Genomic DNA, 12,242 nt, shown 5'->3' on the forward strand with positions numbered 1-12,242 from the left:
TGCCAACAAGGAAAGAAACCTGGTCAAGAAAATGCTCTGATGTGTGTTTTTTGATATCAAGCTTCTGCCTTTGGACTCAACTGATATGAAATTTCTGATTTTTTTCAACCTGGGCAAGGCTCAAGATATTACTGCAAAAGCATTTTCTCCAATAAAGAGTTTGCTAAGCAAATTGACATTATGAACATGCTTTCATGGACTTATTAACCTACTTTAAAAAACAAGTTGTTTATGAAGTTCACCAGGTGAACATGTGTGGACAGAGCTAATGAATGCAAATACGTCTTCCTAACAGGCTCTCACTCTGTGAATATAGTTCAGAAGCTAGCAGTTAGTTCCTGTTGTTGGAGGTATTTGAAAAAAAAAAGTCAATTTATTTTAAATCATTAAAATTTTAAAAATGGATATACTCTTCTAAAACCATTTGATCTCCTCCTATACAGAATGACTTTTCTACTAATAACTCCAAGTTAATGAACATTTTATTCTGTCTAATAAGTTTTTTTTTTAATTGCATGCACAGACATGGGAGGGGTAGCATGCATAGTGGTTACAAATGTGGACTATAGAGCCAGACTCTCTGGGTTTGAATCCTGCCCTGCCATTTTACTTAGTAGGTACTTACACTGTTTGTGCCTCATATCCTCTTCTATAAAATGGGAATAGCAATATTACCTGCTTCATAGTTGTTATGAAGGTTAAATTAGTTAATATATGTAAGGTACTCAGAAGAGTATTAAGTGCTATGTGCATTAGCTTTATTGTCTTGACTTAGCCAGCTAAGCACTGGGCCTCAAACAACAAATTAATCTGAACAACTCAACCTCACTTTGTTGTACCACCGTGGGAGTTTGTATTTGCAAAAGAACCCAAGCATTAGATCATGGATGGGTTAAGCTGGTACTTTCTCAGCAGAATTCTAAGAAAGGTGTCCATGGCCAAGTAGGTTAAGGAATGGAATGGATAATTAAGGCTAAGGTTGAAATTTTTCTTTTTTTTAGGCAGGAAAAAGTTTACAGAATTCCACAGATAATTTCTTTCCAGGTTTATTTGAAAAGGGCACTCTATATCAGTTTAAGATTGTTTCTTGGAATATTTGTATTTTGTATGACTAGCACACCAGAACTGCAATGGGACGAATGAATTAAAATAAATGCTTCCCCTCTCTCCGGTCTGTCCCTCCAAGATGACAAAGAAAAGAAGGAACAATGGTCGTGCCAAAAAGGTCCGTGGCCACGTGCAGCCTATTCATTGCATGAACTGTGCCTGATGCGTGTCCAAGGACAAGGCCATTAAGAAATTCGTCATTCAAAACATAGTGGAGGCCACAGCAGTCAGGGACATTTCTGAAGCGAGCGTCTTTGATGCCTATGTGCGTCCCAAGCTGTATGTGAAGCTACATTACTGTGTGAGTTGTGCAATTCACAGCAAAGTAGTCAGGAATTGATCTCGTGAAGCCCACAAGGACTGAACACCCCCACCTTGATTTAGACCTGCGGGTGCTGCCCCACGACTCCCACCAAAGCCCATGTAAGGAGCTTAGTCCTTAAAGACTGAAGACAGACTATTCTCTGGAGAAAAATAAAATGGAAATTGTACTTAAAAATAAATAAATAAATAAATGCTTCCTATTATAATAGCTTTTTAAGGTTTAGATGTAATAATTTCACAACTCCTATTACATACAAGTGCATCCTTGGGATGCAAGTACTTACATGTTCAGCTTATTAGCATGTTGTTTTCAGTTCTGCTCAAAAAACATTCTCAACTCAGCTGACTCATTTTAATAGGGACAAAATTTTCACATTCCAACTTGAACAGGGAAGTGGTAACAATTGATTTAGATAGGAGTATCAGAATTTCATTTTGCTAAGGCCTTTTTTGTGCTTCTTAATGCAGTAACACTTTAGGATAGAATGAATATTGTTGGTATCACCACTTCTGCAAATGTGCTCACTCTTCTTTTCTGTTTATTCTAGAAGGTTTACTCACACACTAAATATGGGATGCACCAGTTTTTTATGCTGCAAGTTTGAAATAATACCATTTATTTCAACTACTTAAAAAATATGGGGCTAGGTGCAGTGGCTCATGCCTGTAATCCCAGCACTTTGGGAAGCTGAGATGGGAGGATTGCTTGAGCCCACAAGTTTAAGACCAGCCTGGGCAAAATTGTGAGACCCTGCCTCTGCAAAAAAAAAAAAAAAAAAAAAAAAAAAAAAAAAAAAAAAAAAAAAATTAGCTGCATCTATTGTCCCAGCTACTCAGGAGACTGAGATGGGAGGATCCCTTGAGCCCAGCAGATTGAGGCTGCTGTGAACCATGATCATGTTGATGCACTCTAGCCTGGGTAATAGAGTGAGAACCTATCTCAAAAGAACCAAAACCAAAACAAAAGGCTTTGGGTTATAACTCAGAATATGTGAGTTTGGTGAATTTCTTCCAGAAAAAGAAATATTCAATGTTTGATTACCTGCCTTTGAAAAAACTGGCTGTTCTTCTGAAAAGACCTTGCAAATAAAATTGCAAAGAATGCAGGTGTAGAGAGAACTGAGATAACAGCTTGTCCAAAAGGAAGCGAGAGTCATTTGTTGAGCAATTTAATGGATCTGAGGTACACTGATCTGATGAGGTACATGATCTGATGAGGTAAATTGCTAACCATTACCATAATGTCCTAAGGGAAACAGAAGGGATCGCATCAGGGCCCCCTGACTAAAACTGAAATATGTTATTGTTTCTGGCCACTCATGGACGGCAGACAGAGTGACATTGAGAGCATGCACCTGGGTTGGAATCTCAGCTGAGCCCCTTTATACAAGGGCTAGGCAAACCTGGGAAAGTTAGTCAAACAGTTGTTTGCCTCATCTGTACAATGGAGGGAATAATATTCTATTTTATTTGTAATAATACATATCATGTTAGCTATCTGTTGCAGCATTAGAAACTTAATGGTTTAAACAACACACATTTAAAATCTCGAAGTTTCTGAAGGTCAGCATTCCAGGCTTAGCAGGGTGTTTCTCCCTCAAGGTCTCTCACAAGGGTGCAATCAAGGTGTCACTCAGGACTCTGGTGATATGGTTTGGCTGTGTCCCCACCCAAATCTCATCTTGAATTGTAGCACCCATAATTCCCATGTGTTGTAGGAGGGACCCAGTGGGAGGTAATTGAATCATGGGAGCGGGTCTTTCCCATGTTGTTCTTGTGGTGGTGAATAAGTCTGAGATCTGATGGTTTTATAGAGGGGAGTTCCCCTGCTCAAGCTCTCTTTCCTGCTGCCATGTAAGATGTGATTTTACTCTTCATTTGCCTTCTGCCATAATTGTGAGGCCTCCCCAGCCATGTGGAACTGTGAGTCAATTAAGCCTCTTTCCTTTATAAATTACCCAGTCTCGGGTATGTCTTTATTAGCAGTATAAGAACAGACTAATACATCCGGTCTCATCTGGAGGTTTGACTGAGGGAAGATCCACTTCTAAGCTCACTCTGTGACTACTGGTAGGCCTCAGGCTGTCACTGGCTATTGACTGAAGACTAATTAGTTTCTTCCCTGGTGGACCTCTTCCTAGGGCAGCTCACAACACAACAGCTGGCTGTCCTCAGAGGGAGCCAGGGAGACAGGAGGAGGGAGTGAGGAAGATGGAAGTCAGTCTTCTTATAACCTAATCTTGGAAGTGACATCCAATCACTTTTGCCATATTATAGTCCCTAGAAGCCAGTCATTAGCTCAGCCCACTTTCAAGGGGAGAAGATGACACAGCAGGAGATGGGGACAATGAAGGCCATCTCAGAGGCTGCCGACCACATATACGAACACAGGCCTTTCCTGACTTCTAGCACCAGTCTCAGGAAGGAGTTTGTAGCCTCATGCAGGATTAAATAGTTCCTGGCAGAAATTAGCTCTGCCCAAGGATTAAGGACAGCTGAATTTGACACCTATAAAGCATCACTCTTGAATTCTTCCTGAATTCAGTAAAATGAGTCAGTTAATTAACTCATCGCTAGAGTTTTTTGCCATATCAGTATATTCCCAGTGGAACAATGAAGATTAACCTGAAAAATAAGTCATGGTTATAGCTATTGCATCCTGAATGGCACAAAACATCAAGGAAATATTCTTTCAGTATTCAAAAGCTATTATTCAGCAATGAAGTTGCTCATGCCATTGATGAACGAGTAAGGGAAGTTCCAGCACGGTAGTGCAGAAGCTGAAAGGAGGCTCACTTTAGTGAATGTAATTTTTATGAGGGTAAAAAATAGTTTAACAGATCATATATCAGATGAAATGATAATAAATTTATTGCGAAAAGGGTTAGCAGATTAGGATGCAATCTTATTTGTCAAATCATGCTTGAATTATACCCTAGCTTGACTATGCACTACGAATTTGGCAAAAATCAAGGAAAACATTCTATGAGAATCAGTTGGCTGTGTGGAATTTATAAGAGAGTATGAATATTCGATATTTTTTGTAAGTTGTGACCTCCTGATTGAAAGCATAGGCATCAGCTTACTACCATTCATTATCATGTTTGCACGAAGGCAATGATAATTGATAAAAACTCCTGAGTACTGGTGAGGAAAGTTCTGACGCTTTAGTAGTGCTGAAAGAAATATGGGCAGGGAGGTTCCAGATGTAGAGGAAGAAAAAAAATTTTCCTATACCCTCTTGGGTTTAGGGGCTGGGGCCTGTGACTTAAACTGACAAATGACAGATTAATAAAAAGTTATTTTATATGCACATAGGGAGGGAGGTGTCACAGAAAAGAACTGAAAACCCAAATCAGTCAGGCCTAAGAGCTTATATATCATCTTAACAAAGGGTGATAAATTCTGGAGAAATGATAAGACAAAGGAAAAGGGGCTTGGGCTTCTAATGGTGGTATATTTTGGGAGGGTAAATATATCGGGGAAGCTCATTGAAGGAAAGGGTTATGGTAGTAAGGTTTGTTTGTGCAGACTCATCTCAGTGTTGACTTACCAGCTCCTGTGACACAGGTTGTTCTCTGCCTTCCGGTATGGGAGAGGGGAGGGGAGATACTTTTACAGATGGAAATTTGTTATATTTACCCTACTTTTAGGCAGAAAAGGGGAGGGTAGAGAGTTCCTTCTGAATCTGCTATTTCTCAATTGCTTTAACTTCAAAATAATCCTATGCCAAAGTGGTATATTTGGGGGTGGTATATTCTGATCCCCTTCACCAGACTCTCAATCCATCACCAATTGACAGTCCTTAGACAAACTATTGTGCAAGCTCTCACATATCTTCAAGTGGAATTTGATGAATTCCAAAGTATGCTGTCAAAGGCATACTTTGGAAGCTGCCACAGCCTAGAGTCTAAGGAAGGCCTGAGCCAGGTAAAGTCTCCAGACATAGTATTGCAGAAATGACAGCACTCTGAGTGGGACAGTTTCCCAAGGTGTGTGGAGCCACATTTGGAAGGATCACATTGGTGTCTCGTGGGGCTGATGTGAAAGGACGTCTGCTGACATACGGGAGCTTCTGATCTGAGAAGAGCCTGCTGGGTGGTGGCAATGTCCACTTGGATTCTTTTGAGTACACACTGGCTGGGTTTTGGATACCAGCACCTCTGCCAATCCAGCATCAAGTGTTCTGTGCTTCAGGCACTCCACCATTCTTGTGATATCATTTTTCTAGGTCTTCACTTCTGCTGTGTCTACGCTTCTCTTCTTTACCTAAAGGCTCTGCTTACTCATGGATTCCATTGCCTGATGACATTTGCTCAATGGCTTTTCTTGCTTTGTCTTTCAGTTTCTGCTGCCAATAGGGAGTTCCCGTCTGCCTCACATTTAAATTTCTGCCTCCTCCCAATGTGGGGCAGTTGCCTGGCTCTCTTTACACAATCTATTTTGGGATGGTGGAAATATCTAGTTCTGGGTGTGCAATCATGTTGGACCTAATGCTACTACATTGGCTGGGCGTGGTGGCCCACACCTGTAATCCCAGCACTTTGGGAGGCCAAGGCAGGTGGATCACCTGAGTTCAGGAGTTCGAGACCAGCCTGGCCAACGTGGTGAAACCCCATCTCTACTAAAAGTACAAAAATTAGCCGGGCATGGTGGCAGGTGCCTGTAATCCCAACTACTCAGGAGGCTGAGGCAGGAGAATCACTTGAACCCAGGAGGTGGAGGTTGCAGTGAGCCAAGATCATGCCACTGCATTCCAGCCTGGGTGACAGAGTGAGACTCTGTCTCAAAAAAAAAAGAAAAAGCTACCACATCCTCCTTTCTTCCACACTCAGGGTGAGTGTGGACACCTCACAATTGAAGGGAGAAAAAGCACAATTCCTCTTGCAATAGAGAGACTCTTTTGCAAGACAGGTGCTATAATCTTGTGTAATCACATGCACATAATCACAATCACATACCTCGCATTGCCTTTACCATATTCCATTGGTTATAAATAAGTCACAGGTCCCACCCACATTCAACGGGAGGGGGTTACATAAAGGCATGCATATCAGAAGGGGGAACCATGGGGACCACTTTAAAGTCTATCCACCACATCTCCTTGGTCTCCTTCAGTCTGTGACTGTTCCTCAGTTTGTCCTTTTCTTTCATAACCTTGACTCTTTTGAAGAGTACTGATTGTTTATCTTGCAAAATGTTCTCCATCAGGTTAGTCTGATGTTTTCTCATTATTGGATTAAAGTTATGTATTTTTGACAAAATACCACAGAAGTGACATGCCCTTTTCATTACATCCTGTAAGAAGGTACATGATGTGCATGTTTTGTTTGTTATGTTAGCCTAGATCATATGGTTAAGATAAGGTATGCTGGGTTTGTCCACTGTGAAGTTACTTTTCCCCCTTTGTAAATAGTAAACATCTTGGGATAGAAACTTTGAGACTATACAAATATACTCTTTCTACTTGAATTTTTTCCCACAACTTTAAGATTTCATTGATAGATTGTGTCTGCAACAATTACTAATGGCGATTTATTGTTTCTCCCATTCCTTTTACATTTATTAACTGGAATCTCTCCAAAAGAAAGATTTATCCCTCTCTTCCACATATTCATGTATTCAATCACTTATTTACATCATTATGGACTCTTAGATGTCTATTTTATTCTGTGGGTTATAATTCAATACTATCATTACAGATTTTGTGGTTCTAGTTGTTCTAGCTTTGGCAACTGGGAGTTCTTTCAGGCTGGCTTCTGTGCCTTTTGATATACCCCATTCTTTTTTTGAATACTTCCTTACTTTCTAGCACAAGAGGCTCCAGCCTCATTTTGTATTCTTCCTGCCTCAGCCCTGGAATCAACTACTTCTCCAAGGAGCCCTGGTTTCTTTTATTGACGAATAGTATTTAGAAACCAAGATCTCAATACTGGGTGTGTTCATTGCTATTGTGATTTTATTGCTTTTAAACTCTCTCAGTGGACAGAGCTAGGAAATACAAACATGTATACCAGCACATTCATATACACATATCTACGTCTATATCTACCTATATGTATGTATATTAAAAACCTAGGCATTTATACTTGTATTAGTCCGTTTTCACACTGCTGATAAAGACATACCCAAGACCGGGTAATTAATACAGGAAGAAGGTTTAATGGACTTACAGTTTCATGCGGCTGTGGAGGCCTCACAATCATGGTGGAAGGCAAGGAGGAGCAAGTCACATCTTACATAAATGGCAGCAGGCAAAGAGAGAGCTTATGCAGGGAAACTCCCCCTTATATAACCTTCAGATCTTGTGAGACTTATTCACTATCATGAGAACAGCATGGAAAGACCTGCCCCCATGATTCAATTACCTCCCACCAGGTCCCTCCCACAACATGTGGGAATTCAAGATGAGATTTGGCTGGGGACACAGCCAAACCATATCAATACTGATACCTCTATTGCCTGTCTAATGCCACCAGGTTATTCTAGCTTTTCCTCCTTCTTCGTAATTTCTTTCGCTGACAGAAAGCTGGCTCTCATTACCAGCAATATACCTATTTATTCAAACCTAGTATACATATAAAATAGTTTCAGAATTGCTAACCCATATCTTTGTAAGGAAAAAATTTGTGGCTGGGCACAGTGGCTCACACCTGTATTCCCAGCACTGTGGGAGGCAGAGATGTGAGGATCACTTGAGTCCGGGAGTTCAAGAGCAGCTTGGGCAACATAGTTAAGACCTCACCGTTACAAAATATCAAAAAATTAGCTGAGCGTGGTGGTACATGCCTGTTGTCCCAGTTACTTGGGAGGCTGAGGTGGGAGGATCACTTGAGCCCAAGAGGTCAAGGCTGCAGTGAGCTGTGACTGTATTCCTGAACTCTAGCCTGGGCAACAGAGCAAAACTCTGTCTCAAAAACAAAACAAAACAAAACAAAACAAAACAAAATAGAAAATAAAGCAAATTTGTGAACTAGAGTGCAGTATTTGTGTACAGTTCTTTTTGTCTTTAGCCTTATAGTAACCAGTTAAAATACTGCTTTCTAAAGTAACTTGTTAGTTCTTTTTTTAACCACTCTCTTCAGTATGATCACATGATTCATCTATAATACATTTATGTTCATTTAAAAAAATTATTTATTTTTATCCTAAGCAAATTAACACAGAATGTGGATTTTTTTTTTTTTTTTGAAATGGAGTCTTGCTCCATCGGACAAGCTGGAGTGCAGTGGTACGATTTCAGCTCACTGCAACCTCCGTCTCCAGGGTTCAAGTGATTCTCCTGCCTCAGCCTCTCGAGTAGCTGGAATGACAGGCACCCATCACCGTGTCCAACTAATTTTTGTATTTTTAGTAAGAGACGGGGTTTCACCATGTTGGCCAGGCTGGTCTCAAACTCCTGACCTCAGGTGATCCACCCACCTTGGCTTCCCAAAGTGCTGGGATTACAGGTTTGAGCCACTGCGCTAAGCCTGGTGAAACACTTTTGAGAGAGACAGAAAAGAAGAAAGGCAAGCCACTGAATTAAAATAAAGTGCTGCCAACGTTGAAAGCCCTTCGAAATGCACACAATTTTTTCAGACTTGTTCCAGCTTACCAGCTACTTGAAACTATCAGTTAACTCTCTTTTCCTCAAACCCCAACATTCAAATTAAGGGAAAAAAAAGGTGATTTTATTAAGTAAATATATAATTTTATTATTTTAAGTAAAGATGAACTAAGTAACCAAATTGAGAAATATCTCCAAATCCATAGCATTTCTCCAAAACAAGAATGACAGAAGGGGAGTAAAGTGGGGAATTCCACTTATAATTTAATAGGAATTACTTATATATGAGACCTAAGAAATCTGACTAGATTGAGATACCATGTGGCAGAGAGGAAACTTGATCTTTATATCAATTCATCCCAAATTAATGTATAATTTACTTATTAACTATTTCAATCAGAAGCCTTATACAATATTAGGCGGTAGCTCAGGGGGCTTAAGAAAAAAAAAATCAGTAATTAGTCTGAAAGGGCAAATGGGCAAAAGAGTTCATTATAAAATTGAGCTGCTTCTTCCATGGGCTCCATGGTGGGTAGTAACAAGGATTTAGCACCCAACAACTGCCAGGTGTAGCTCCTGCCAGCTAATATTACGCATTATGCATGAGGAACCACAAACTGTTAGAGGCATTTGAACCAGAGTGACTCCATATTGAACAGGGGCAGGGTAAAAGAAGGCTGAGACCTGCTAGGCTGCATTCCCAGTAGGTTAGGCATTCTAAGTCACAGGATGAGATAGGAGGTCAGCCCAAGATACAGGTTATAAAGACCTTGCTGATTAACAGGATGCAGTAAAGAAGCCAGCCAAATCCCACCAAAACCAAGATGGCCATGAAAGTGACCTCTGGTTGTCCTCTGCTCATTATATGCTAATTATAATGCATTAGCATGCTAAAAGACACTCCCATCAGTGCCATGACAGTTTACAGATGCCATGGCGACCTTAGGAAGTTACCCCATATGGTTTAAAGGGAGAGGAACCCTCAGTTCCGGGAATTGCCCACCCCTTTCCAGGAAAACTGATGAATAATCCACCCCTGGTTTAGCATATCATCAAGAAATAACATTAAGTATCCTCCTTAGTCGAGGAGCTCAAGGTTTGGCTCTGCCTATGGAGTTGCCATTTTTTTATTCCTTTACTTTCTTAATAAACTTGATTTCACTTTGCACTGTGGACTCGCCCTGAATTCTTTCAAGAGATCCAAGAACCCTCTCCTGAGGTCTGGATCAGGATCCCTTTCCAATAACAAAACCAGTAATATTATTGATTAATCAATAACGTTAGAAAAAAATGGTATGGTCCAACAATATTTTTAAAGTATTAACTGATTTTTACACCAAATATTCCCCCATCCTGGACCCTCTACCATTCAAGCAAGACCATCCTGAGTTCAGCGTGGAGAGTGGAAAATATAACTAGAGTCTTCTGATTTTTGTTAGACCAAAGCCTTTAGATAAAAGAAAGAACTCAGACTAAACAAAGCATTTCGGAGAAAAATCACTCAGGCCTAATGAAAAGTTCTCCATTGGAATTAGAGCTAAGTGATCTTGCAGGGGAATTCCGAGGGTAGGATTCAGGAATGTGTGTTTTTACAAGCACTCCAGGGGATCTTTACGCACGCTGGAGCTGGAGAGACGGTGGGCTAGATGTTCCCCACCTGGCTGCACAGTAGCCTCACCTAAGGGTTTAATTTTTTGGTGCAGGGGCGAGAAAAGCCAGGCAGCAGATTTTTTTTTTTTTTTCTAAGCTTCCCAGGTGATTTTAATGACTAGTCAACCCTAAGAACTTTTCTTGGTAAAGTTTATTTGCTTCCCCACGACTCTTTTAGACGTTTTATTGCAGTCAAACATTATAAATGAATTTTTACAATATTATCCAAGGTGTCTCCCCAACACATATATTTCTTCTCTTTCTACTTTATTTTCTAAATTTATTGTACAAAATTAAAACATGGGTGAGTTGGAAGACCTACATTTAGGACAGTGTTTTGCAGATTGTGGTTTCTGAACCAGCAACATCAGCAGCCCTTGGGAACCTTTAGAAATGCAAATTCTGTGTCCCACTCTAGACCTTCTGAATGAGATGTGCTGGTGGGGTGGTGGGGTGGTGGGGCTGCAATCTGGATTTTCACAAGCCTTCTAGGGGATCTGGGGCACCCTAATTTTTGAGAACCAAGGATTCTCTTAATGAGAAACTTTTAAAACTACTGACGCCTGGGACCCACCCCTCAGATTTTGATTTTTGATTGAATCATTCCAGTGTGTGGTTCTTCCAACGACTGTAATATACCACAAAGTTTGAGAACTTCTGGGGCTTCAGTGAAGACCTTACCCCTGTCCAGAGCAGAGTTGTCTTTCTAAACTAAAAGAAAACCAAACAAAAACAAACAATAGGGATATCTCAAGGTTCAAGAATAAGTTTAACAGTGCATATAATAACAACTAGGCCCAATATTTATGTTTTTATAATGGGCAATAGTCTCCAATCTTTTCTTTAGGAGATTATTGCTATAATTGTAGTTGTATTTTTAGTATTCAGTGACTGAAAATAGCATGTAATCAATAAATGAATTTGATAACATTTTAAGTGAACACAAATGTTATTCTTCACTGTTTTTCAGAAAATGTTTAGCATCCATATAACCTCTTTTAAAATACTTTCAGGAAGCCAAAGATTCATGAGTTGGGACCATTAGCGTTTTTATATTTTTACCAGAGACAGCGAGAGAGACAGAGAGAACGAGTGCATGTGTGTCAGAGAGACAGCAAGATTTATTTTTATTTTTATTTATTTTTTACTGCTTATCTTTCCATGATGTGACCACCCAAATTTATGAAATCCTTCCAGAAGGTTTGGGACCCCCTAGTAAATTCAATTATGCTCAACATATTGTATTCTACTCTTTGGAAATTAACTATCCACTTAGAGTATCTATGATATTCCCTAATAATTATACTATTAAATGTATCATACCACCACATTTCTCAGGTATACTGGAAGATAGAGCACTTACAACATAACCCTATATGAGTTATTTTTAAATGAAATATTTCTATTCTTCCATACTTTAAGATAAATTTCTTCAATGACAACTCTACTTTCTCTGAATGTAATGTTTTGTGATATTTGCTCAATTTTAGGCCAAACATCACAATTTCTATTTCTTCCTTTTCCTTCTTCCTTCTTTCCTTTCTTTAAAATGTAATTCTTAAAATATAGCTAACTTTAGTTGGATATTTTTCAAATAAACCTCTAGTGACAT

At 39.7% G+C, this 12,242-nt stretch overlaps 1 pseudogene; it reads left to right on the forward strand.

Annotated features, from left to right (window-relative positions):
- Positions 1,159-1,603, forward strand: RPS26P38 (ribosomal protein S26 pseudogene 38; annotated as a pseudogene).

This window comes from Homo sapiens, chromosome 10, assembly GCF_000001405.40.
Source record: "Homo sapiens chromosome 10, GRCh38.p14 Primary Assembly".
NCBI classification, from domain to species: domain Eukaryota; kingdom Metazoa; phylum Chordata; class Mammalia; order Primates; family Hominidae; genus Homo; species Homo sapiens.